The sequence below is a fragment of the Homo sapiens genome, chromosome 12, assembly GCF_000001405.40.
Source record: "Homo sapiens chromosome 12, GRCh38.p14 Primary Assembly".
NCBI classification, from domain to species: domain Eukaryota; kingdom Metazoa; phylum Chordata; class Mammalia; order Primates; family Hominidae; genus Homo; species Homo sapiens.
The window spans coordinates 124,908,727-124,932,542 of record NC_000012.12 but is presented as its reverse complement, the minus strand read 5'-3'; the positions used below and the strand labels follow the sequence as shown (position 1 = coordinate 124,932,542).

Sequence of the window (23,816 nt, the reverse complement as noted above, 5' to 3'; positions counted from 1 at the left end):
TTGTTAAAAATAAAGCTGGGTGCGGTGGCTCATGCCTATAATCCCAGCACTTTGGGAGGCTGAGGTGGGCAGATCATGAGGCCAGGAGTTCGAGACCAGCCTGGCCAACATAGTGAAACCCCGTCTGTACTAAAAATACAAAAAATTAGCCGGGCACGATGGCGAGCACCTGTAATCCCAGCTACTCAGGAGGCTGAGGCAAGAGAATCACTTGAACCCAGGAAGTGGAGGTTGCAGTGAGCCAAGATCACGCCATTGCACTCCAGCCCAGCCGACAGTGTGAGACTCCGTCCCAAAAAAAAGATTAAAAATAAAATATATAATCTGATTCCATTTTAATACAATCTATCTGTCAATCTCTCATGCTCTCTGTATATATCCACTGCAGAGAGGCTTAGAATGGTGTTCAATTACTATCCATGAGGGATATTTCTAAGAAGAAGGATATGGATGCTTATTAGTTCACATCTTCATACTTTTCTATGATTCTTGATACTGAGCTTTTTTTTTTTTTTTTTAATGGAGTCTTGCTCTGTCACCAGGCTGGAGCGCAGTGGTGTGATCTCGGCTCACTGCAACCTCCACCTCCCGGATTCAAGTGATTCTCCTGCCTCAGCCTCCCGAGTAGCTGGGACTACAGGCGCGGCCACCACGCCCAGCTAATTTTTTTGTATTTTTAGTAGAGACAGGGTTTCACCATGTTGGCCACGATGGTATCGATCTCCTGACCTCGTGATCCACCCACCTCAGCCTCCCAAAGTGCTAGGACTACCGGCATGTGCCACCACACCTGGCTAATTTTTGTATTAGAGACGGGGTCTCACTATGTTGCCCAGGCTGGTCTTGAACTCCTGGGCTCAAGTGATCCACCCACCTTGGTCTCTCAAAGTGCTGGGATTACAGGTGTGAGCCACCACACCCAGCCTCATATTTTGCTTAAAAAAAAAATCAACTCATGAAAATGAAATATGTGTGCTGGGCATGGTGGCTCACCCCTGTAATCCCAGCACTTTGGGAGGCCGAGGCGGGTCGGTCACTTGAGGTCAGGAGTTTGAGGCCAGCCTGGCCAACATAGTGAAACCCCGTCTCTACTAAAAATACAAAAATTAGCCAGATGTGGTGATGTGCGCCTGTAGTCCCAGCTACTCGGGAGGATGAGGCAGGAGAACCACTTGAATTCCAGAAGGCAGAGGTTTCAGTGAGCCAAGATCCTGCTACTGCACTCCAGCCCAGAAGACAGAGCAAGACTCCATCTCAAAAAATAAAATAAAATAAAATAAAATAAAATAAAAAAATATGTGATTGGTAATTGTAGTGGGATGAATAGTGACCTCTTACAAGATATATCTGCCCAGAACCTCAAAAGGTGACCTTACTTGGAATCCAAGGGTCTTTAAAGAGATAATTAAGGGAGAGAGCTCAAATGAGTTGATCCTGGATTAGGGTGGATCCTAAATCCCATGACATGTGTCCTTATAGGAGACAGCAAAGGAAAAAGCAGGCCATTTGTGGTAGCTGACACCTGTAATCCCAGAACTTTTGGAGGCTGAGGTGGGAGGATGGCTTGAGCCTGGGAGTTGGAGACCAGCCTGGGCAGCAGATTGAGACCCCCATTTCTACAAAAAATGTAACAACAACAACAAACATAAAGAAAGAAAAGGGGAAAGTACACAGAGGCATGGAGAGGAAGGCTATGTGAAAAAGTGGGCAGAGAGTGCAATGATGAAACTACATGACAAAGGACACCAAGGCCACCACTAGAAGCTGGGGGTGGGAGGTGGCATGGGACAGTTTCTTCCCCAGAGCCTCCAGAAGGAACAAGCACTGCTGACCCCTTGATTTTGGACTCTGGTCTTCAGAACTGTGAGAGAATAAATTTCTGTTGTTTTAAGCCACTCAGTTTGTGGTGATCTGTTACTGCAGCATTAGAAGCCATTAAGTGATTAAGTAATTAAGACCTGGCAACTTGTTTATCCAACAAATATTCATTGACAGCCTCCTATATGCAAAGCACTGAGCTGATACATTATCAAGTGAGAAAAATAGGGCATTGGTTGTATGAACTGAATCATTTGAGAAAAAACTATGGGGAACAAAACAAAATGAGTAAGTCATTTTTAAAATATTAGAAATTGCCAGGAGACTCCAGTTTTCCCTTCTCAATTTCTTTAGCAACACACATTTTCGGAACACACACCTTGGTTTGGGATTGCTGCAGACTGAAGAGCCGGATGGACACCAAAGCCCACTCCTTCTCTCACAGGCTCAGAGCTGGATGTGCTGCATTGCTGGCCTAGCTGTCTGGAGCTGGATCTAGCCAGACCTGATACCCATATCAGAAATGAATACACAATGCTGGGCCCCCCCAAAGGCCATTTGCCATGCTCTTGTGGGAGGATCTTTAGAAGGGGCTCTATTCTTGACAGGAAGGGAGTGAAGAATTTCAGAAGAGAGACAATGTGAAATCTTTCCACTCTTTTGGAAAATCCAGCCACAGTGAGTAGGGTGGAAGGTGTATTAGTCTCCTCAGGCTGCCATAACAAAATACCATAGGCTGGCGGGGCTTGAGATACAGAAACGTATTTTCTCACTTTTCTGGAGGCTGGAAGTCTAAGATCTAGGTGCTGGCAGGCTTGGTTTCTTCTGAAGCCTCTCTTCTGGGCTTGCGAATGGCTGCCTCCCTGCCGGGTCCTCACATGGTCGTCCCCCTGCATGTGTGTCTGTGTCCTAATCCTAATCTCCTCCTCTTTCGAGGACAACAGTCACATTGGATTAGGGCTTCCCCTAATGACCTAATTTTAACTTAATCACATCTTTAAAGGCCCTATCTCCAAATACGGTGACATTCTGAGGAACTGGGTGTTAGGGCTTCAACATACAGACTTTGGAGGGATAGAATTCAGCCCATGACACCAGGTTTGAGGACTCTTAAGGGGACTCCGGTTTGCTCCAGGAAGTTCAGGAAATTGGCTGACCCAGTGCATCCATTTGGAAGTGTAGTGGGCATCTCGAAACGTAACATGCCTGTGACTGAAGTCTTGATTTCCTTACTCACTCTGAGGCACCTGCCCTCGGGCAAGAGCATCACCATCCGTCCAGTAGCCCAGACAGCCGCTGGGTGTCATCCTTCACCCCCCTTTCTTTCCCCTTTCCCTATATGAAATCCATCAACAAGTCCTCCCACCCTCCTTCTGAAGCCAGTCTCAAATTCGTCCCTTCATCAACACCTCCAACTGCCTCCTCGCTGGACTTCCTGCTGCCACTCTGGCTGGCCAGTCCATTCTCCACCCAGCAGCCGGGGTGACTTTGCAGATGGAAATCATCTCACTCCCCCATGGCTTTCCAAGATCCAGGGCACCCAGGCTCATCTCCTAGGCCTCCAAAGATGGCGAGATCTGGTCTCCGCCCCACATTCAGACCTTGCCCCCTCCCCTCACTCCTCTTCCCCTCCACCTCTTCCATCATGACTTCTTTCTGTCCCTCTGACAAGCCAACCTGGTTTCAACCTCAGGACCTTTGTACTAGCTGTTCCCTCCGTCTGTGATGCTCTTCCTCCAGGTCTTCCCGTGGCTCTTCAGTCTTCTGGTCTTCTCAGATCTTCCCTTCTCTTGCTGCCCCCACAGTGCAGGTATTTTATTTTTCTTAGCATTTACTATTATGTGGACTTATTTTGTTATTGTATTTGGCTTTTTTTTTTTTTTTTAATAAGATAGGGAGCTCACTATTTTGCCCAGACTGGTCTCGAACTCCTACCCACAAGCGAGTCTGCTTTCACCTGGGCCTCCCAAAGCTCTGGGATTACTAGGTTGAGCCCCCGCACCTGGCCTGTTAATTGTATTTGTTGATGGGTCAGACGATTATTAGGTGCTCGGCGAATGCTTCTTGAATGACTTCAGGTCATGAGGGATTTCCTGATTCTTTCCCGGACAACACCCGCACCGTCCAACCGCCCACTTCCCGAAGCGAAGAGCCCAGTCTGGATGCCAACCTGTTGACGTCTTCCCGCTTGGAAGCTGAGCAGGTGCTCACAAGCATGGAGGCCACACTCGGAGGCCGGATCTGAGTCACTCCCTGCCCGAGGAACGCTGCGTTCCGGCTGACGCGTCCTCCCGTAGGCCCTGGCGAGGTCAACATCCCTGCCACGCCTCGCGCTGCTTGCGGAGCTGCGCCCAGGGGATGACCTTTTTCCTTTGCGCGGAGAAGGGGGCTTGAGAAACCCGAGCTCTGAACCAGGTGGGATTCATTCATTCACGCATGCATTCATTCATGTAGTCAGTCAGTCAATCAGTCAACAAATATTTGTCAAGGCCCCACAATGTGCTAGGCACTGTTCTAGGTACTGAGGGACACAGCGGTGCCCGAGGTAGACAAGGTTCCTGCTCCTCTTGTGTTTGTCATGCTTGCTGGGGAGACGGACAAGGAAAATGATAAAGTTAACAGTAAATAGTAAAGGCTGGGCCATGGCGGGAGATGTGATCAGAGAAGGCTTCTCAGAGGTCGTGGCCTTGACAGACGAACAGGCCACCGCACGCAGTCCCTGCTGAACCTGCATTCCCAGCGTCTGTGTCAAAGACCCGGGGCGGCAAAACGACCAGGAGGATAAAAGAGCATCGCAGTCGTAACGGCTGCCGAAATAGCTCAGTTGGGAGAGCGTTAGACTGAAGATCTAAAGGTCCCTGGTTCGATCCCGGGTTTCGGCACTTCCTCTTTTTCCTTCCCCCCGGGGGAAAAAGGAGGTGCATAGACGAAGCCGATTCCTTCCAATTGATCAAAGGCTTTTACTTTCTATATTTAACAAAGCCCCGAGCAGTGTCCGCGAGGAGCCAGAGGGAAAGGAAACTCCCCCTCCACTCCCCGTTTGGGTAAATCAAATAAGGTCAAGTTTTTCCCGTCTCCACCTCCTCCATGTCTCAAATGCACATTTGTTGATGCCTGTTTGTTCATTTTTGCTTTCTGTTTTTTAACGTCTGCTTTCTGAACTGGAAACGATCGCCTTAAAATGGCATGAAGTCAAGTCGGACCTGTTGTTTTGTGGGAAATACAAGATACTTAATTCTTTGGAAAGTGTTTAGGGAAAGCTACGTTTACCTTAAAACAGTCTCTTGAAGAACCTGTTTTATGGGCGGTCCTCGTTAGTATAGTGGTGAGTATCCCCGCCTGTCACGCGGGAGACCGGGGTTCGATTCCCCGACGGGGAGGCCAAGTACGTTTTTACCATTCTTCCGTATTTTTCCTTACTCTTCCTATGAAGAATAAACCCGGCAGGTAAACGGGACTCTGGTTCTGTGGTTGTCTCTGGCCTCGTTGCGTGCCACACTGTTACAGGAAAGCAAGAAAAAGGCAGTGCTCGCATGTGGAAGTGTTCATCCATTTCGTTCTTTTTTTTTGGAGACCATTTCTTTTTTTTTTTTTTTTTCCTCAGACAGAGTCTCGCTCTGTCTCCCAGGCTGGAGTGCAGTGGCCCGATCTCAGCTCACTGTAACCTCCGCCTTCCGGGTTCAAGCGATTCTCCCGCCTCAGCCTCCCAAGCAGCTGGGACTACAGGCGTCCGCCACCACGCCCGAGTAATTTTTATATTTTTAGTAGAGACGGGGTTTCACCATGTTGCCAGGCTGGTCTCCAACTCCTGACCTTGTGATCTGCCCGCCTCGGCCTCCCAAAGTGCTGGGATTACAGGCGTGAGCCATTGCACCCGGCCTAGAAACCACTTCTTTCTTTCTTTTTTTTAAGTCGGAGTTTTGCTCTGTCACCAGGCTGGAGTGCAGTTGTGTGATCTCAGCTCACTGCAACCTCCACCTCCTGGGTTCAAGCGATTCTCCTTCCTCAGCCTCCCGAGTAGCTGGGATTACAGGCATGCGCCACCAGGCCCAGCTAATTTTTGTATATTTGGTAGAGATGGGGTTTCACCGTTTTGGCCAGGCTGGTCTCGAACTCCTGACCTCGGGTGATCCTCCTGCCTCGGCCTCCCAAAGTGCTGGGATTACAGGCCTGAGCCACCGTGTCTGGCCGTGTTCATCCATTTCTTGCACCCCTCCTGCAAACTGTTTGGTTTATGTAATGGTTTCTCAGAATAAGATTATCAGCTTCCGAGGCCAGGAACTGCTCCTTCTGCTTCCGTCTTAGGATTTGCTCCAGCCCCGAGGGAGGGCCCTTGGAAAATGTTGATAGATTTGAGACGTTTTCTTGTCTTTAGGCAGTTGCAGACTCAGCTTCCTGAATACAGCTATCACCTTTCCCGGGCGCTTATCTTTTGTTAACTTTCCATATTCATTTTACAAATATTTACTGAGTACCTATTATGTGCCAGGCACGGTTCTAGGCAGCAAGACAGAGAAGGTGCTGCCCTGTTGAGATTACCACCTAGTGAAGGACCTGGCATTGAACAAATAGGATAAAATGGGTAAATGCCATGAAGAAAAACCAGGCAAACCAGAGGCATGGGATAGGGAGTGAGTGGGATTCATAGGCCCCTTTAGAGAGGTGCTCAGGGAGGCCTTTCTGCGGTGGTGGCATTTGAACCAGGACCAGGAAAATGAGAAAGAGCCAACCATAAGAAGAGCTGGAGGCCGGGCACGGTGGCCCACGCCTGCAATCCCAGCACTTTGAGAGGCAGAGGCGGGTGGATCACCTGAGGTCGGAAGTTTGAGACCAGCCTGACCAACATGGAGAAACCCCGTCTCTACTAAAAAATACAAAATTAGCTGGATGTGATGGCACATGCCTGTAATCCCAGCTACTTAGGAGGCTGAGGCAGGAGAATCGCTTGAACCCAGGAGGCAGAGGTTGCAGTGAGCCGAGATCACGCCATTGCACTCCAGCCTGGGCAACAAGAGCAAAACTCCGTCTCAAAAAAAAAAAAAAAAAAAAAAGAACTGGGAACAGCATTCTAGGCAGAGGGAACAGCAAGTGCAAAGGCCCTGAACTGGGAAGAAACAGTGAGGAAGCTGGTGTGGCAGAAGCACCCATGGAAGAGGATAGGGAGGACGGAGGAGTGGGGCAGAAGGAGGTGAAGTCAGAGCGGTCCTCAGAGGCCGGATTACATCGTACCTTGAAGGGATATGGAGGGCAGGAGGTATGGGTTTGATTCTGAGAGTTTCATGCAGAGAGAAACATTCAGGTTTGTTTGAGCAGTGCCCTCTGGCAGCCAGGTGGGTGGGCACAAGAGGAAGCAGGGGCACTTGCGGACTGAGAACAACCCGTGGGCTTGCTCCTCAACCACATCCAAAATGATGCCACCTATGGCGCCATCCTGCTCTTCTGCTGCCAGGGTCTCTCTCCCGTGGCTCCCACTTAGGCTGGGGAAATGAGGTCAGAGGATGGTTTACACGGTGGTCCCTATTCCTCACCTCCCCACTGCCCTCCTGCTCTCCCCCATCTCTCCAAAACGGGTCAGCAAAGCATCACGCCGGGCTGAATAGAAGAGGCAACTGCCCTCCAGCAGAGTCCTATGATAATAACATTTATAAAAGCCAGACCCACATTTCACAGTTCCTGCCTTCTATTTATTTATTTATTTATTTATTTATTTGAGACGGAGTTTTGCTCTTGTTGCCTAGGCTGGAGTGCAGTGGTGCAATCTCGGCTAACTGCAACCTCCGCCTCCTGGGTTCAAGCGATTCTCCTGCCTCAGTCTCCTGAGTAGCTGGGATTACAGACCCGTGCCACCATGACCAGCTAATTTTTTGTATTTTTAATAGAGACGGGGTTTCCTCATGTTGGCCAGGCTGGTCTCGAACCCCTGACTTCAGGTGATCCACCCATCTCGGCCTTCCAAAGTGCAGGGATTACAGTTGCGAGCCAGTGCACCTGGCCTTATTTATTTATTTAATTTTGAGAGAGGGTCTTGCTCTTTCGCCCAGGCTGGAGTGCAGTGGTACAATCTCAGCTCACTGCAGTCTTGACCTCCCAGACTCACGAGATCCTCCTGCCTCAGCCTCCTGAGTGGGGGTGGGGTGGGGTGTCTCACTGTGTTTCCCAGGCAGGTCTTGAACGCCTGGGCTCAAGCAGTCCTCCCACCTCGGCCTCCTAAAGCACTGGGATTATGGACCTGAGCCACTGCACCCAGCCCAGAGCCTGTGCTTTCTACCAGACACTATTATACATATTTTATGTGTAACTCATTAAATTGTCACAATAACCAGATGAGGTAGGTACATTGAAATCTCTTTCACAGATGAGGCCCAGAGGTTAGGTGATGCAATCACAGCTGCTGTGTCCAGCACTTCTTGCCCCCAGGCTACTAACTTTTCTGACAATTTTGCATGGTCTTTGGCTAGGAAGAGTTTCAAGTGCCAGCAGCTGTCAGGGAACTATGGAGAACGAGGCGGCAGGACATTTTTGATGCAAGCTTTCCTTATCACAATAAGTGTCTATTTCCAGCCAAGAAATCTCAAGGCTGATGGAAAGAGGTATAGCCTTCAGTTTTCCGCCCTCTCCTAGCTTCTCACCCATTCTTTCCCCAAGGAACAGCTTTTTGATGACCTGAAGGACACCAGACATTGTGACTTCTCTCCCCTGGTGTGCTTAAGAAACCCTCTGGAAGAGAGATGCAAATTCACAGTTTAAGAATGGCTCTTAGGGCCGGGCACGGTGACTCACGCCTGTAATCCCAGCACTTTGGGAGGCTGGGGCGGGCGGGAGGGGGGCAGGGGGCGGATAACGAGGTCAGGAGTTTGAGACTAGCTTGACCAACATGGTGAAACCCCGTCTCTACTAAAAATACAAAAATTAGCTGGGCGTAGTGGTGCACGCCTGTAATCCCAGCTACTCAGGAGCCTGAGGCAGGAGAATCGTTTGAACCCGGGACGCGGTGGCTGCAGTGAGCCAAGATCCTGCCACTGCACTCTAGCCTGGGCGACAAAGCGAGACTCGGTCTCAAAAAAACAAACAAACAAACAAACAAAAAGAATGGCTCTTTTCGGTGGGCAATTGTAAAGAGACTCCTTCCTCCAAGCTGAAGCCCTCATTCTGGGAAGTGGATATGTTTCTTTTCAGTTTGCTGATATTTATATTCAGACGGATTTTTTTTTTTTTTTTTTTTTTTTAGATGTGGTCTCCCTCTGTCTCCCAGGCTGGCGTGCTGTGGGATGATCTTGGCTTACTGCAACCACTGCCTCCTGGGCTCCAAAAATCCTCTCGCCTTAGCCTCCCGAGTAGCTGGGACTACAAGCGCTCGCCACCACATCCGGCTAATTTTTTGTATTTTTGGTAGAGACGGGGTTCACGCCATGTTGGCCAGGCTGGTCTCAAACTCTTGGCCTCAAGTGATCCGCCGACCTCTACCTCTCAAAGTGCTGGGATTACAGGCATGAGCCATGGCGCACGGCCATAATAGTTCTTTTGGGAGGAAAAAATGTCTTCCAGCTGATATGCAAACCTCAAAGTCACTGAAGGTTGGTATGGTTTTAAAGGATGAGAAATCAGAGGTTTCTGGGTGAAGGTACAATCAAGCCAATGCCCTTATTTGTTGGAAAGAAACTCGATTTTCCTTCTCTTCTCTTCTGTCTGTGAAGAGGAACATTTAAGAATGGGTCAGTTTACATTTGTTCCTTGGTTCTGGTATCCGCTAGAATTTTAGTTGCAAGGTTATGAAGAGCTAACCTACTTGGGAAACATAAAACAATTTTTTGTTGTTGTGGTGGTTTTGCTAAACTCTAACACTCACTTAAACACACAAAAGTTTAATTTAGAAAATATCCTTGGCTGGGCGCAGTGGCTCACGCCTGTAATCCCAGCACTTTGGGAGGCCAAGGGGTGCAGATCACCTGAGGTCAGGAGTTCGAGACCAGCCTGGCCAACATGCTGAACCCCCCCCCATCTCTACTAAAAATACAGAAATTAGCAGGCGTGGTGGTGCACGCCTGTAGTCCCAGCTACTCGGGAGGCTGAGGCAGGAGAATCGCTTGAACCCAGGAGGCGGAGGTTGCAGTGAGCCCAGATCATGCCACTGCACTCCAGCCTGGGCGACAGAGCAAAACTCTGTCTCAAAACAAACCAACCAACCAAAAACTAAAAGCCTCTCGCACTCCCGTGTGTATTGCAGCTTTATTCATAAGTGCCTAGATGTGTCCGTCAACAGATACATGGATAGAGAAAATGTGTACATACGCAATAGAATACTATTCGACCTTAAAAAAATACAAAACAAAATGAAATCCTGTCATTTTTCCTCTACGAAACAAAAATAAAAACATGGCTAAGTTTGGGCGACATTACATAAAGTGAAATAAACCGGGCACAGAAAGATAAATACTGCATGATCTCACTCACGTGCGGAAGCTGAAATAGTTGGTCTCACAGAGAGAATAGTGGTTACTGCAGGTAGTGAAGGTGGGGGGAGGTGGGATAGCCAAAGGGGGGTTACTGGATACAAAAGTACAGCTGAATAGGAGGAATAAGTTCCAGTGTCCCTATAGAGTGAATACAACAACTTATTGTACGTTTTCAAATAGCTGGAAGCGTGGATTTTTAATGTCTCCCAGCACAGAGAAATGATACATGTTTGAAGGGATGGATGTGGTCATTGCCCTGATTTGAACATTACAAATTGTGTACATAGATCACAACATCACACCACACCTCATAAATGTGCACAATTGTTATGCGTCCAAACAATAATAAAAACCAAAAATAAAAATGAAACACGTGGAAACAGGAAAAACGCCTTTAAGAATAGAGTATAGCAAGGACTTCCAAAAGCAAGTACAGGAAAGGGAGGGGGATGTAGCTCAGTGGTAGAGCGCATGCTTTGCATGTATGAGGCCCCGGGTTCGATCCCCGGCATCTCCATTGTAGTTTTGTTGCTTTCTGTATTCGTTTTGGTCCGTGGTTCTTTATCATTAAAGTGCCATGGATGTGATTATCATAAGCATTGTGATTCCAGGCACTACTTGGAGCTCAGATTCTCACACCAGGTGTGATCTTCCCATTCTGAAATCTCTAATGTTTCAAATGCACATGAGTTAGAAGAGGCTGATGGGAGTAATCAGCAGAAAAGTGTTAAGGCAAAACCTGACTTGATGACTGAAACCACAGCAAAAGTGAGCAGGATGATCATTTGGGGAGTGTACACCACATCTCGTGCCACCATGATTGTACTGCACTGGCCTCGAGGGCTGTTGACGCATTCTTGGCCATCAGAGGGCAAGTGTGTAAGTTGCTGGAAGGTCTGGGCCCCCCTGTTTGCCATCTCACTCCTCCTCTGCACTGCCACGAACCACCTCATTTGCATGGGAGGAACCCAGAAGCAAACTCACATCCCAGCGGGGCTTTGCTCTCTGCTTCCTCAGCAACACGTCTCCACGGCTGTAATGCAAGTGCAATTTACATTTATATTCATACACTGTGTTCCGGGGTGAGCAGGCCTATGCAAACCTACCCCAAAGGCCAAGGGAGCTGAGAGGCCAAAGAAAGGGGTTGACAAACCCAGTTTCTCAGGAAAAAACATTTATTAGGGACTTACCAACAGAAGCCATAGTCTCAGGGTGGTCATCAGAGGATATAAGGTTTGCTGCGCCATAACCCCCGGCCCAGGGCTTCCATACCATAGGGAAGGAATATATGTAGGACAATTGAAGTTGACCCCTCAAGCAAGGCAAGAATGTTATGTGAATCCGCATAAGGGAAGGATTTATGATCTAGGTTGTTCTGATCTAAGGGCAGAATTTATGGTAACAGTAAAGTAGAAATCTTAGAGACCTTCCTGGAAGAGGCATTAATCGGAAGTTATCTTGGTGGATTAGCAACCAAGATGGAGTTGCTTTCACCTCCACTGTGTTTCTGTGTTTTATCACTGAAAGCAAAAGATGGTGGCTCAGGCCTGTAATCCCAGCACTTTGGGAGGCATGAGGCAGGAGAATTGCTTGAGGCCAGGAGTTTGAAAGCAGCCTGGGCAACAAAGGGAGACCTTGGCTCGGAAAGGAAAGGAAAGGAAAGGAAGGGGAAGGGGAGGGAAAGGGGAAGGGGAGGGGAGGGGAGATTGATTTACTTGCATGAATGATCTTTAGGCAAAAATAAATACATAAAAATAAATTATATTTTTTAAAGTTTAACCAGTTCCCAGCTCTCTAAATAATAATAAGAATGAAAGAAGGGATTCGGCTGCATTCTGTGGTACAGTTCTTTGCAATTATAATGAATTCCTCACCTGTCAGCCCCTTTCTTTCATTTGACTTGACTTCATGTTTTAAATGGTAAAAGCGTCTAATCCTAGATCTAGAGCTTTCATTTTTGAGATGAAGAAAATGAAACTTGCGAACTGACTCACCAGTTAGGTGGTGACGCATTGGTGACAGCTTGTTTCTAATGAGCTTCAGGAAAGGTTATTTCTCCCTAAATGTCAACAAGGTTTTAGGGGAAAATCATTGAAGATAATTTCTGAAGTCATCAGGCCTAACACAAAACTTACATGCTTCTGTAACTGCCCAACAGTTTCTCCTTGCCCGCTGCCTAGACAGAGCCCATTTATTAGGACAGGGAAACTGTGATCCGCCCACCTCAGCCTCCCGAAGTGCTGGGATTACAGGCGCAAGCCACCTCGCCCTGCCATAATAGAGAACGTTTAATTCACACACAGCTGGCAGTGTGGGAGACGGGAGTTTTACTATTACTCAAATCAGTCTCCCTGAAAACTCAGGGATTGGAGTTTTGAAGGATAATTTGGTGTGTAGGGAGGTCGGGAAATCGGGAGTACTGATTGGTTGGGTCGGAGATGAAATCACAGGGAGTCGAAGCTGTCCCTTTGCCCTGAGTCAGTTCCTAGGTGGGGGCCACAAGACCAGATGAGCCAGTTTATCAATCTGGGTGGTGTCAGTCGGCCCACTGAGTGCAGAGTATGCAAAATATCTCAAGCACTGGTCTTAGGTTTTACAATAGTGATGTTATCCTCAGGAGCAATTTCAGCATGGACAGAATCTTGCAGTCTCCAGCTGCGTGACTCCTAAACCATAATTTGTAATCTTGTGGCCAATTTGTTAGTCCTGCAAAGCAGTCTAGTGCGCAGGCAGGAAGGGGGCTTGTTTTAGGAAAAGGCTATCACCTTTGTTTCAGAATTAAACTATAAACTAAGCTCCTCCAAAGTCAGTTCAGCCTACACCTAGGAATGAACAAAGACAGTTTGGAGGTTAGACGCGAGATGGAGTCAGTGAGGTCAGATCTCTTTCACTGTAATAATTTTCTGTTATGACTTTTGCAAAGGCAGTTTCACTTCTGTTTTACTTTGTTTCTTCTTTTGTTTATTTATTTATTTATTTTGCTTGAGACAGGGTCTGTTTCTGTTGCCCAGGCTGGAGTGCTGTGGTGCAATCACAGCTCACTGCAGCCTCAAACTCCTGGGCTCAAGTGATCCTCCCACCTCATCCTCCTGAGCAGCTGGAACTACAGGCATGCACCACCGCCTGGCTAATTTTTGTTTGTTTGTTTTGGTAGAGACAGGGTTTCACCATGTAGCTCAGCTGGTGTTTAACTCCTGGGCTGAAGTGACCCTCTCACGTTGGCCTCCCAAAAATGCTGGGATTACACGTGTAGGCCACCATGCCTGGCTATTTTTTTCAATATTTTTTATTTTTATTTTTTATTTCTTACTATGACCCCACACTTATATGACATTACTTTGTACCTTATAATTAAATATTTCAGCCAGGCACATTAGCTCATGTCTGTATTCCCAGCCCTGTGGGAGGCCAGGGCAGAAGGATCACTTGAGCCCAGGAGTTCAAGACCAGCCTGGGCAACATGGTGAAACCCCCATCTCTTATTTTATTTTTTGGAGACAGAGTCTCACTGTCACCCAGGCTGGAGTGCAGTGGCACGATCTCGACTCACTGCAACCTCTGACTTCAGGGCTCAAGTGATTCTCCTGCCTCAGCCTCTGGAGTAGCTGGGATTACAGGCGTGAGCTACCACACCTGATAATTTTTGTATTTTTAGTAGAGATGGAGTTTCAGCATGTTGGACAGGTTGGTCTCGAACACCTGACCTCAGGTGATCCACCGGCCTCAGCCTCCCAAAGTGCGAAACCCTCCTCTCTACAAAAAATGCAAAAATTAGGTGTGGTGGCGCATACCTGTAGTCCTACCTACACAGAAGGCTGAGGTGGGAGGATCACCTGATCCGGAACATCCAGGCTGCAGAGTGAGCCGTGATCATACCACTGCATGACAGAGCGAGATACTGTTTCAAAAAACAAAGAAACAAAGCCAAATATTTCTACTAGTGCATGACAAGGAAAAAAAATACCGCAGGGAGTTGTTATTGTTAAAGGTTGGTGTCAGGAATTGGAGCTTCCTAGAAATACTCTTTGAAAAAAGTGCTTTTTCAACTATTAAATTTTATTTTACCCTTAAACAAAGCTTATTATATGAGGTCACATGAGTTGTCAAATTCATAGAGACAGAAAGTAGAATGGTGGATGCCAGGGGCTGGTGGGAGGGAGAAATGGGGAATCAGTTTTTCATGGGGACAGAGTTTGTTTTGCAAGACGAAAAGAGCTCCAGAAATGGCTTGGTGGTGATGGCTGATGCACAATACTGAATGTACTTCATGCTACAGAAATGTACACTTAAGAATGGTAAATTTTATGTGTATTTTACCACAATTTTAAGACAAAACCAAACGACGACACAAACAAAGCCCAAATAGGTTAAATAACTTCCTAATGTTCCTAAAGTAGGCAAATTTGGAGACTAGCTAAGTCCGGTTTTGACCGCTGAGATGAATGGGTTATTTTTAAGCTGGAGCGGTTTGTGTTCCACCACACAGTTATACAGCACAAGCAGAAACAGGAAGAAGAACACATTCCCCAGGTTTTTTTTTTTTACTTCCTGTTTGCCAGGCCTCTAACCTGCAGGCGTCCTTGACAACCTTTTATGGTTATATAAGCGATGACAAAGCAAGGCAAACCCTTCCCACCACCTCTCTGATTCCACCCTTTTTCTTGGGGGAAGCAAGTTTGTTGACCCTCACTCATGCTCTCAGACAGTTTCATGGGGCTGGATTAAGTCACATACAAGGTGGTGAATTTCAGAAGGGGGAACTGAATCCTTAGGGGGAGGGGAAAAACGAAGGCGGAGGAGCAGGCGCTGATCCAACCCCGCCCTCCCCAGCTGCAGCCCAGCACCCCGGCCCTTTGTGAGCTCAGCTCATCACACGCTCCCTTCCGCCTGCCAATCCCGCCCTGTTGCTGGGCCTCTGTCCCTTCTCCATTGGTGCCAGCTCTGAAGCAATCTTTTCTGGGGCGCCTGCAAAGGACGGATCTGTGGGTGGAACGAACTGAAAACGGATCCAGTGACTCATCCCGATTCTTGCACATTCTAGCACATCGCATTCTAGGTCAGCAGGGTTTAGGTTTTAAGAGCGTGACTTGATACCTGACTCCTGAGTCCAAGTGGGACATTTAGACTTTGGGAACCCTTTCGGAAAACAGAAAAGCAGTTGTTGCAACAACAAAAATCCTTTGTAGGACAGGGTTTCTTAATTTCAGCACTATTAATATGTTGGGTCTGATAATTCTTTGTTGTGGGGGACTGTCCCTCATAGAATGTTCAGTGGCATCCCTGGTGTCTACCAACAGTGCTAGTATTAGTAGTAGCATCCCCTAACCTCCCCTGAGTTGTGACAACCAAGAATATCTCCAGATATTGCCAAATGTCCCCTGAAAGAGCAAATCACTCCTTGTTGAGAACCATTGTTGTAGAGAAACATCAGACACCTGCGTTTTGGGAGGCCATTTTCTTCCCTGTCACCTCAGTGACTTTGGAGAAAGGTTTATTTCTGTTTGCTTCAATAACCATTTAAGTCAGGGAATGCTGGGATGTTTTCAATAATTTTTTTCTGCTAGAGACAACATTGGTTTCTCTTTGCAGCTAACCTTTGGCCCATTACCCACCCTACCCTCATCCCCTCTTCTTCCTTTTTCCTCCTCCTGTCCTCCTCTCCCGCCCCTGCCTCTGCAGTTAGGGCTGTTTTTTCTCTGTACCTTTTGGACTCTGAAAAAAGCTATGTCACAAAGCTGGTGACTCAGCCTTTAAACAACATGAATCACAAGGCTTGCAGCAGAGTAACAGCCAAAAGCAACCAGGGCGTGGTTGAAAGCCAGGCCTGGTCACCTCAGAAAGAATCTCAGCTTTTTAATCCCTTCAAAACTCCTTCCCGAAATGTAGGGGAAAAACAAAAAACAAAAACTTTGCAGAAATGTGTATTGGAAATCACTGGGGTATCCTGCCAATCCTGGAAAATGACACTTTTATTATTCGTTTTAATTTCCCAGTAACACATGAATTCATTCTCTTTAAAATGTTAAAAATTGGAGATGTCAAAGTCTGTTTTGAACAATGCACAGATCTTGGATTTTCATAAATACACAGAAACATGGGTTACCATAGAAAATATATAGCAGGTTCATTTTGCTTTGATGCATATTTTAAGTCTGCCGTTTAAATAATGTAATGTTCATAACTTAAAACAAGAATGCAGCCTTTTCCTAATGGCAAAATATTTTTCAGTTGGTAGCCTCTTTTTCTCTTTTTTTTGAAGCTTTTAAGGGTAGAAATCAAAATAGCCTCCCTACCTCCAATACATTTGTAGAAACAGGGACTATTTGTAGAAGAGTCCAGAAGGAACAGTGGCTGGGAAATTGAGGGCATGAGGGAGACTTTTCACTGTACACTTTAAAAAGACACATTTAAAAAATCTCACCATGTTCGTATATTTTAAAACATTTAAAAAATATACTGAAGAAATGACACGTAGGGATCACAAAATAGGTTGTGGTAAAAATTTAAAAAGCTGGCTGGTGATGCTTTTCTCCCCACTTCTTTTACCAAAATAGAATTGCCCTGTAGAATTACATTTCATATTTGACACCCTACCCTGCACTGAAATAAGGTTGGGATTCTATTCCTGTCTTTTAAAATCTCCGGTTTAAATGGGTCCGATTATTGAATGGATCCTGCTTACAATAATCGTACCCATTGAAACCAGAGAAATTTCCATGCCTCCCTGTTGGCATCAAGTAGGACCTTTCCATACCTGGCCCTCAGAATGTACAGGAAGGTGGAAGAACAGTCTAGAAGGATGTCGTTCGCTCAGCCTTGCGTTCCAGCTAAAATAAAACTGTGTGGGGTTTCCGCCTCTTTTTTCCAAATTTAACCTGGACACCCAGCTCCTCTGCAGTGTCTCCCCTGGAAAGTTCTCGAGCGTTCCCCAGCTTTAGGGCCACGCCCGCCCTGAGATCTGCCGAGTCATTGTCCTTGTCCCGCGGCCCCGGGAGCCCCCCGCGACCGGCCTGGGAGGCTCAGGGAGGTTGAAGGGGGCTGAGCAAAGGAAGCCCCGTCATTACCTCAAATGTGACCCAAAAATAAAGACCCGTCCATCTCGCAGGGTGGGCCAGGGCGGGTCAGGAGGGAGGGGAGGGAGACCCCGACTCTGCAGAAGGCGCTCGCTGCGTGCCCCACGTCCGCCGAACGCGGGGTTCGCGACCCGAGGGGACCGCGGGGGCTGAGGGGAGGGGCCGCGGAGCCGCGGCTAAGGAACGCGGGCCGCCCACCCGCTCCCGGTGCAGCGGCCTCCGCGCCGGGTTTTGGCGCCTCCCGCGGGCGCCCCCCTCCTCACGGCGAGCGCTGCCACGTCAGACGAAGGGCGCAGCGAGCGTCCTGATCCTTCCGCCCGGACGCTCAGGACAGCGGCCCGCTGCTCATAAGACTCGGCCTTAGAACCCCAGTATCAGCAGAAGGACATTTTAGGACGGGACTTGGGTGACTCTAGGGCACTGGTTTTCTTTCCAGAGAGCGGAACAGGCGAGGAAAAGTAGTCCCTTCTCGGCGATTCTGCGGAGGGATCTCCGTGGGGCGGTGAACGCCGATGATTATATAAGGACGCGCCGGGTGTGGCACAGCTAGTTCCGTCGCAGCCGGGATTTGGGTCGCAGTTCTTGTTTGTGGATCGCTGTGATCGTCACTTGGTGAGTAGCGGGCTGCTGGGCTGGCCGGGGCTTTCGTGGCCGCCGGGCCGCTCGGTGGGACGGAGGCGTGTGGAGAGACCGCCAAGGGCTGTAGTCTGGGTCCGCGAGCAAGGTTGCCCTGAACTGGGGGTTGGGGGGAGCGCAGCAAAATGGCGGCTGTTCCCGAGTCTTGAATGGAAGACGCTTGTGAGGCGGGCTGTGAGGTCGTTGAAACAAGGTGGGGGGCATGGTGGGCGGCAAGAACCCAAGGTCTTGAGGCCTTCGCTAATGCGGGAAAGCTCTTATTCGGGTGAGATGGGCTGGGGCACCATCTGGGGACCCTGACGTGAAGTTTGTCACTGACTGGAGAACTCGGTTTGTCGTCTGTTGCGGGGGCGGCAGTTATGGCGGTGCCGTTGGGCAGTGCACCCGTACCTTTGGGAGCGCGCGCCCTCGTCGTGTCGTGACGTCACCCGTTCTGTTGGCTTATAATGCAGGGTGGGGCCACCTGCCGGTAGGTGTGCGGTAGGCTTTTCTCCGTCGCAGGACGCAGGGTTCGGGCCTAGGGTAGGCTCTCCTGAATCGACAGGCGCCGGACCTCTGGTGAGGGGAGGGATAAGTGAGGCGTCAGTTTCTCTGGTCGGTTTTATGTACCTATCTTCTTAAGTAGCTGAAGCTCCGGTTTTGAACTATGCGCTCGGGGTTGGCGAGTGTGTTTTGTGAAGTTTTTTAGGCACCTTTTGAAATGTAATCATTTGGGTCAATATGTAATTTTCAGTGTTAGACTAGTAAATTGTCCGCTAAATTCTGGCCGTTTTTGGCTTTTTTGTTAGACAATGCAGATCTTCGTGAAGACTCTGACTGGTAAGACCATCACCCTCGAGGTTGAGCCCAGTGACACCATCGAGAATGTCAAGGCAAAGATCCAAGATAAGGAAGGCATCCCTCCTGACCAGCAGAGGCTGATCTTTGCTGGAAAACAGCTGGAAGATGGGCGCACCCTGTCTGACTACAACATCCAGAAAGAGTCCACCCTGCACCTGGTGCTCCGTCTCAGAGGTGGGATGCAAATCTTCGTGAAGACACTCACTGGCAAGACCATCACCCTTGAGGTCGAGCCCAGTGACACCATCGAGAACGTCAAAGCAAAGATCCAGGACAAGGAAGGCATTCCTCCTGACCAGCAGAGGTTGATCTTTGCCGGAAAGCAGCTGGAAGATGGGCGCACCCTGTCTGACTACAACATCCAGAAAGAGTCTACCCTGCACCTGGTGCTCCGTCTCAGAGGTGGGATGCAGATCTTCGTGAAGACCCTGACTGGTAAGACCATCACCCTCGAGGTGGAGCCCAGTGACACCATCGAGAATGTCAAGGCAAAGATCCAAGATAAGGAAGGCATTCCTCCTGATCAGCAGAGGTTGATCTTTGCCGGAAAACAGCTGGAAGATGGTCGTACCCTGTCTGACTACAACATCCAGAAAGAGTCCACCTTGCACCTGGTACTCCGTCTCAGAGGTGGGATGCAAATCTTCGTGAAGACACTCACTGGCAAGACCATCACCCTTGAGGTCGAGCCCAGTGACACTATCGAGAACGTCAAAGCAAAGATCCAAGACAAGGAAGGCATTCCTCCTGACCAGCAGAGGTTGATCTTTGCCGGAAAGCAGCTGGAAGATGGGCGCACCCTGTCTGACTACAACATCCAGAAAGAGTCTACCCTGCACCTGGTGCTCCGTCTCAGAGGTGGGATGCAGATCTTCGTGAAGACCCTGACTGGTAAGACCATCACTCTCGAAGTGGAGCCGAGTGACACCATTGAGAATGTCAAGGCAAAGATCCAAGACAAGGAAGGCATCCCTCCTGACCAGCAGAGGTTGATCTTTGCCGGAAAACAGCTGGAAGATGGTCGTACCCTGTCTGACTACAACATCCAGAAAGAGTCCACCTTGCACCTGGTGCTCCGTCTCAGAGGTGGGATGCAGATCTTCGTGAAGACCCTGACTGGTAAGACCATCACTCTCGAGGTGGAGCCGAGTGACACCATTGAGAATGTCAAGGCAAAGATCCAAGACAAGGAAGGCATCCCTCCTGACCAGCAGAGGTTGATCTTTGCTGGGAAACAGCTGGAAGATGGACGCACCCTGTCTGACTACAACATCCAGAAAGAGTCCACCCTGCACCTGGTGCTCCGTCTTAGAGGTGGGATGCAGATCTTCGTGAAGACCCTGACTGGTAAGACCATCACTCTCGAAGTGGAGCCGAGTGACACCATTGAGAATGTCAAGGCAAAGATCCAAGACAAGGAAGGCATCCCTCCTGACCAGCAGAGGTTGATCTTTGCTGGGAAACAGCTGGAAGATGGACGCACCCTGTCTGACTACAACATCCAGAAAGAGTCCACCCTGCACCTGGTGCTCCGTCTTAGAGGTGGGATGCAGATCTTCGTGAAGACCCTGACTGGTAAGACCATCACTCTCGAAGTGGAGCCGAGTGACACCATTGAGAATGTCAAGGCAAAGATCCAAGACAAGGAAGGCATCCCTCCTGACCAGCAGAGGTTGATCTTTGCTGGGAAACAGCTGGAAGATGGACGCACCCTGTCTGACTACAACATCCAGAAAGAGTCCACCCTGCACCTGGTGCTCCGTCTCAGAGGTGGGATGCAAATCTTCGTGAAGACCCTGACTGGTAAGACCATCACCCTCGAGGTGGAGCCCAGTGACACCATCGAGAATGTCAAGGCAAAGATCCAAGATAAGGAAGGCATCCCTCCTGATCAGCAGAGGTTGATCTTTGCTGGGAAACAGCTGGAAGATGGACGCACCCTGTCTGACTACAACATCCAGAAAGAGTCCACTCTGCACTTGGTCCTGCGCTTGAGGGGGGGTGTCTAAGTTTCCCCTTTTAAGGTTTCAACAAATTTCATTGCACTTTCCTTTCAATAAAGTTGTTGCATTCCCAATTGGTGTTTTTTTTTTTTTTTTTTTTAAGTTTATTTTGCATTAGACTGGGTGAAGGGGGTCAAGGTTTTCGGTCTACAAATGTTCCTGTGGTAACGGTGAAATGTCAGTGAAGGGGGTGGCCTTAATATAGTATGAACTGTAGAAGGTGGGTGCAAATAAAAGCCAGCTTCAAGACCAGCTTGGCCAACGTGGTGAAACCCTATGTCTACTGAAAATACAAAAAAGGCAGGTGTGGCAGTGAGTGCCTGTGATTCCAGCTTACTTGGGAGGCTGAGGCAGGAGAATCCCTTGAACCTACGAAGCAGAGGTTGCAGTGATCTGAGATACTGCCACTGTACTCCAGCTGGGGCGACAGCAAGACTCAAAAAAGAAGTTATTGGGAGATGGAAGTATTTTGCATATGTAGATTTGCTTATAAGTTAACTTTAAAAGTACTGGTTTGTGGGTGATGTGTAAGGTAACGGAATGGGAGAATTACTGGAACACCAGGAAAGGAATTTTAAAAGGTGGGAGTGATGGGGTAACTGAAAGGATGCTTTCAGTGCATAGGTCTATATAAATGCACATTGAGCTGCATAGACAGTCATGGGATCAAATTTTAAGAGGATGTGGAAGGTAAAAAAAGGCATAGCTACCAAGGTGTGGAAAAAGAATTAGTGGTTAGAGAGTGAGCTATTCGTTGAAACAATTGCGTTCTTGAAACAATTCTTGCTGGTAAAATGTCACATTTTATGTGACTACAGGTGGAGGATTGGCACATAACCTAACCAGTGGGGGAAACAATTGACCTCTGGATTTGTCCAAGTGTATAGTAGCATTTGCCCAATCGAATGGTCCTGGTAAGGTGTTAATGTTGACTAGAACCAAAGGTGGAAGTTGCAGGGAAACTGGTTTAGTACAAGGGTGGACACCAGGCAGTCATCCAGAGGCCCATTAAAGGCCTTGGAATGTTTTTCCGAAGGAGAATCACTCCCTCTTCTCTCGCTTAAAGTTTTAGGGGATTCATGAACAGCTGCTGTGGGATAGTTTCATGTCCCTAGCAATTGTAAAGCAACTGAGGGTGGCTTAAACCAGTTTTAGCTTTAGGGTTAGGGTTACTGGACTAAAATTTGAGAAATTCATAAATCTTAAGGAAATCCATTGTGAGTTTTCATTATGAGTGCATCCAATGTATAATTTCCATGACCCTCCCATGCAAGTGAGCATGTGAATCAGGAAACGTTACAAGAACCCAACAAACTCAACCACTACTAGACAGGCGATCACTTCCAGTTAGTATGCAACTTTCTGTGTAATTTTAGTTACCATTAAAATCTGGATGACCTTAGTGTAAGGAAAAAATACCTTGAATAGTGTTAAAGATGTACACTTGGTGTCAGGCATTGTAACATTGATAAATCTGTGTAAGGTGCTTTTTGAAAACTTCAAAGCTGCATCAAGTCAAGTACAAGAAAGGCCATGGCTGCTAAAGCTGTTGAAGATGTGGGATGGAACTGGGTCACATTGGTGTTAACAGCGTTGTGCAGAGCCGGCAGGATCTTGGTGTGAGCGAACATTAGTCTATTTAATAAAGCTGTGTGAATGTTGTAGAGGTGAGGATGCTCACTTGAAAACTCACTGAAGAACACTTGGCCCCTTGAACTAAAGTGCTTCTATCAAGTTCAGTGAGAAATTCCGAATTACAAGCATAGGTACTAGAAAAGTTTTGAAAAGCAGTATAGAGCAACATAAGCACATTCATAAAATTAGTGATGTAGAAAGTGAAATTTCCACGTATGGTCACTCCCAGAGAAAAAAAATACGTTTATTTACCTTTTTTAAAAATAGGGGATTTCAGGCCGGGTGCGGTGGCTCACGCCTGTAATCCCAGCACTTTGGGAGGCCCAGGTGGGCGGATCACCTGAGGTCAGGAGTTGGAGGGATGGCAAATCCCATCTCTACAAAATATACAAAAAAATAGCTGGGTGTGTTGGCAGGCGCCTGTAATCCCAGCTACTCGGAAGGCTGAGGCAGGAGAATCGCTGGAACCCGGGATGTGGAGGTTGCAGTGAGCCGAGATTGTGTAACTGCATTCCAGCCTGGGCAACAAGAGCAAGACTCCGTCTCAGGAAAAAAAAAAGGGGGGGTTGGATTTCGCTTGTTGCCTAGGTTGGTCTCAAACTCCTGGCCTCAAGTGATTCTCCTGCCTCTGCCTCCCAAAGTGCTGAGATTACAGGTGTGAGGCACCATGCCAGGTCTCTTACTGTTTGTAATTAAATACATACACATTTTGTGTGTTTGTGTGCAGGTTTATAAAGTCAAAGGTGATAGTAACCCATTTAAGTTCCTACTCAATTTTACTTTCCAGGGATAACTAACTACTTTTTCTTTTTGAGATGGAGTCTCGCTGTGTCGCCCAGGCTGGAGTGCAGTGGCGCGATCTCGGCTCACTGCAAGCTCCGCCTCCCTGGTTCACGCTATTCTCCTGCCTCAGCCTCCCCAACAACTGGGACTACAGGCGCACGTCGCCATACCTGGCTAATTTTTTGTATTTTTAGTAGAGACAGGGTTTCACTGTGTTAGCCAGGATGGTCTCGATCTCCTGACCTTGTGATCCGCCTGCCTCTGCCTCCCAAAGTGCTGGGATTACAGGCATGAGCAACCGCGCCCAGCTGGGATAACTACTTTTTACAGGTTGATATTCTTTTGGACTTTTCCCCTGTGTAAAAATATACTATATTTGTTATGTACATATTATGTACATACAGACACAAATTGGACCATTCTCAGTATAATGATTCTCAGGTTTTTTTTTTTTTTTTGAGGTGGGGAACTAGATAATTATGGACATCTTTCCATACTAGCATATCTAGATCTACCTCATTCTTTTTAATATTTTTGCTAGTATTCCATTGTATGAATGTCCTATGATTTACTTA

The 23,816-nt window shown here is 47.9% G+C and overlaps 1 protein-coding gene and 4 non-coding genes across 5 annotated transcripts, besides 23 other annotated features; 4 read left to right on the top strand and 1 right to left on the bottom strand.

Moving 5' to 3' along the window:
* Positions 3,502 to 4,701: an enhancer, noted in NCBI's record as "P300/CBP strongly-dependent group 1 enhancer chr12:125412388-125413587 (GRCh37/hg19 assembly coordinates)". NCBI's record gives its function as "activates an origin of replication core promoter dependent on BRD2, BRD4, P300/CBP, MED14 and CDK7 cofactors, with strong dependence on P300/CBP, by STARR-seq in HCT116 cells {active_cell/tissue: HCT116}" and the evidence as "EXISTENCE:reporter gene assay evidence [ECO:0000049][PMID:35650434]".
* Positions 3,502 to 4,740: a biological region, named in NCBI's record as "P300/CBP strongly-dependent group 1 enhancer GRCh37_chr12:125412388-125413587".
* Positions 4,031 to 4,100: an enhancer, noted in NCBI's record as "active region_7316". NCBI's record gives its function as "activates an Ori minimal core promoter by ATAC-STARR-seq in GM12878 lymphoblastoid cells {active_cell/tissue: GM12878}" and the evidence as "EXISTENCE:reporter gene assay evidence [ECO:0000049][PMID:35858748]".
* Positions 4,471 to 4,520: an enhancer, noted in NCBI's record as "active region_7315". NCBI's record gives its function as "activates an Ori minimal core promoter by ATAC-STARR-seq in GM12878 lymphoblastoid cells {active_cell/tissue: GM12878}" and the evidence as "EXISTENCE:reporter gene assay evidence [ECO:0000049][PMID:35858748]".
* On the top strand, positions 4,628 to 4,700 carry TRF-GAA1-4 (tRNA-Phe (anticodon GAA) 1-4). The gene has a single exon. It is a non-coding gene; the product is annotated as a tRNA-Phe (tRNA).
* Positions 4,681 to 4,740: a silencer, noted in NCBI's record as "silent region_5071". NCBI's record gives its function as "represses an Ori minimal core promoter by ATAC-STARR-seq in GM12878 lymphoblastoid cells {active_cell/tissue: GM12878}" and the evidence as "EXISTENCE:reporter gene assay evidence [ECO:0000049][PMID:35858748]".
* Positions 5,127 to 5,198, top strand: TRD-GTC2-9 (tRNA-Asp (anticodon GTC) 2-9). The gene has a single exon. It is a non-coding gene; the product is annotated as a tRNA-Asp (tRNA).
* Positions 5,361 to 5,410: an enhancer, noted in NCBI's record as "active region_7314". NCBI's record gives its function as "activates an Ori minimal core promoter by ATAC-STARR-seq in GM12878 lymphoblastoid cells {active_cell/tissue: GM12878}" and the evidence as "EXISTENCE:reporter gene assay evidence [ECO:0000049][PMID:35858748]".
* TRA-TGC3-2 (tRNA-Ala (anticodon TGC) 3-2) lies at positions 10,717 to 10,788 on the top strand. Its single transcript has one exon. It is a non-coding gene; the product is annotated as a tRNA-Ala (tRNA).
* Positions 10,808 to 11,486: an enhancer, noted in NCBI's record as "H3K27ac hESC enhancer chr12:125405603-125406281 (GRCh37/hg19 assembly coordinates)". NCBI's record gives its function as "activates a minimal SCP1, AML or CMV promoter by ChIP-STARR-seq in primed H9 embryonic stem cells {active_cell/tissue: H9 hESC(primed)}" and the evidence as "EXISTENCE:reporter gene assay evidence [ECO:0000049][PMID:30033119]".
* Positions 10,808 to 11,511: a biological region, named in NCBI's record as "H3K27ac hESC enhancer GRCh37_chr12:125405603-125406281". NCBI's record gives its function as "regulatory_interactions: UBC".
* Positions 10,922 to 11,241: an enhancer, noted in NCBI's record as "active region_7313". NCBI's record gives its function as "activates an Ori minimal core promoter by ATAC-STARR-seq in GM12878 lymphoblastoid cells {active_cell/tissue: GM12878}" and the evidence as "EXISTENCE:reporter gene assay evidence [ECO:0000049][PMID:35858748]".
* Positions 11,096 to 11,266: a transcriptional cis regulatory region, noted in NCBI's record as "candidate enhancer chr12.4740 targeted for multiplex CRISPR interference". NCBI's record gives its function as "positively regulates UBC gene expression in K562 cells {active_cell/tissue: K562}" and the evidence as "EXISTENCE:mutant phenotype evidence [ECO:0000015][PMID:30612741]".
* Positions 11,322 to 11,511: an enhancer, noted in NCBI's record as "active region_7312". NCBI's record gives its function as "activates an Ori minimal core promoter by ATAC-STARR-seq in GM12878 lymphoblastoid cells {active_cell/tissue: GM12878}" and the evidence as "EXISTENCE:reporter gene assay evidence [ECO:0000049][PMID:35858748]".
* Positions 13,340 to 13,489: a silencer, noted in NCBI's record as "silent region_5070". NCBI's record gives its function as "represses an Ori minimal core promoter by ATAC-STARR-seq in GM12878 lymphoblastoid cells {active_cell/tissue: GM12878}" and the evidence as "EXISTENCE:reporter gene assay evidence [ECO:0000049][PMID:35858748]".
* Positions 14,717 to 14,926: an enhancer, noted in NCBI's record as "active region_7311". NCBI's record gives its function as "activates an Ori minimal core promoter by ATAC-STARR-seq in GM12878 lymphoblastoid cells {active_cell/tissue: GM12878}" and the evidence as "EXISTENCE:reporter gene assay evidence [ECO:0000049][PMID:35858748]".
* Positions 15,137 to 15,406: an enhancer, noted in NCBI's record as "active region_7310". NCBI's record gives its function as "activates an Ori minimal core promoter by ATAC-STARR-seq in GM12878 lymphoblastoid cells {active_cell/tissue: GM12878}" and the evidence as "EXISTENCE:reporter gene assay evidence [ECO:0000049][PMID:35858748]".
* Positions 15,137 to 16,540: a biological region, named in NCBI's record as "P300/CBP strongly-dependent group 1 enhancer GRCh37_chr12:125400549-125401748".
* Positions 15,341 to 16,540: an enhancer, noted in NCBI's record as "P300/CBP strongly-dependent group 1 enhancer chr12:125400549-125401748 (GRCh37/hg19 assembly coordinates)". NCBI's record gives its function as "activates an origin of replication core promoter dependent on BRD2, BRD4, P300/CBP, MED14 and CDK7 cofactors, with strong dependence on P300/CBP, by STARR-seq in HCT116 cells {active_cell/tissue: HCT116}" and the evidence as "EXISTENCE:reporter gene assay evidence [ECO:0000049][PMID:35650434]".
* Positions 15,562 to 16,241: an enhancer, noted in NCBI's record as "H3K27ac hESC enhancer chr12:125400848-125401527 (GRCh37/hg19 assembly coordinates)". NCBI's record gives its function as "activates a minimal SCP1, AML or CMV promoter by ChIP-STARR-seq in primed H9 embryonic stem cells {active_cell/tissue: H9 hESC(primed)}" and the evidence as "EXISTENCE:reporter gene assay evidence [ECO:0000049][PMID:30033119]".
* Positions 15,897 to 15,956: a silencer, noted in NCBI's record as "silent region_5069". NCBI's record gives its function as "represses an Ori minimal core promoter by ATAC-STARR-seq in GM12878 lymphoblastoid cells {active_cell/tissue: GM12878}" and the evidence as "EXISTENCE:reporter gene assay evidence [ECO:0000049][PMID:35858748]".
* Positions 15,906 to 16,200: an enhancer, noted in NCBI's record as "tiled region #517; HepG2 Activating non-DNase unmatched - State 1:Tss, and K562 Activating DNase unmatched - State 5:Enh". NCBI's record gives its function as "activates a minimal TATA promoter and a strong SV40 promoter by Sharpr-MPRA in HepG2 and K562 cells {active_cell/tissue: HepG2 | K562}" and the evidence as "EXISTENCE:reporter gene assay evidence [ECO:0000049][PMID:27701403]".
* On the bottom strand, positions 16,884 to 16,996 carry MIR5188 (microRNA 5188). The gene has a single exon (NR_049820.1). It is a non-coding gene; the product is annotated as a microRNA 5188 (primary transcript).
* Positions 17,315 to 17,654: a silencer, noted in NCBI's record as "silent region_5068". NCBI's record gives its function as "represses an Ori minimal core promoter by ATAC-STARR-seq in GM12878 lymphoblastoid cells {active_cell/tissue: GM12878}" and the evidence as "EXISTENCE:reporter gene assay evidence [ECO:0000049][PMID:35858748]".
* Positions 17,639 to 18,596: an enhancer, noted in NCBI's record as "NANOG-H3K27ac-H3K4me1 hESC enhancer chr12:125398493-125399450 (GRCh37/hg19 assembly coordinates)". NCBI's record gives its function as "activates a minimal SCP1, AML or CMV promoter by ChIP-STARR-seq in primed H9 embryonic stem cells {active_cell/tissue: H9 hESC(primed)}" and the evidence as "EXISTENCE:reporter gene assay evidence [ECO:0000049][PMID:30033119]".
* Positions 17,865 to 18,314: an enhancer, noted in NCBI's record as "active region_7309". NCBI's record gives its function as "activates an Ori minimal core promoter by ATAC-STARR-seq in GM12878 lymphoblastoid cells {active_cell/tissue: GM12878}" and the evidence as "EXISTENCE:reporter gene assay evidence [ECO:0000049][PMID:35858748]".
* On the top strand, positions 17,893 to 20,897 carry UBC (ubiquitin C). Its single transcript, NM_021009.7, has 2 exons — positions 17,893 to 17,956; positions 18,769 to 20,897. Exon 2 carries the CDS (start codon positions 18,772 to 18,774, stop codon positions 20,827 to 20,829), a length of 2,058 nt encoding a protein of 685 aa, NP_066289.3. The 5' UTR covers positions 17,893 to 17,956; positions 18,769 to 18,771; the 3' UTR covers positions 20,830 to 20,897.
* Positions 22,786 to 23,080: a silencer, noted in NCBI's record as "tiled region #9680; HepG2 Repressive DNase unmatched - State 14:Gen5', and K562 Repressive non-DNase unmatched - State 8:EnhW". NCBI's record gives its function as "represses a minimal TATA promoter and a strong SV40 promoter by Sharpr-MPRA in HepG2 and K562 cells {active_cell/tissue: HepG2 | K562}" and the evidence as "EXISTENCE:reporter gene assay evidence [ECO:0000049][PMID:27701403]".

What these genes read in the sequence shown, in the direction of transcription:
- UBC (NM_021009.7), top strand. Translation starts at nt 18,772, where the DNA reads ATGCAGATCTTCGTGAAGACTCTGACTGGTAAGACCATCACCCTCGAG.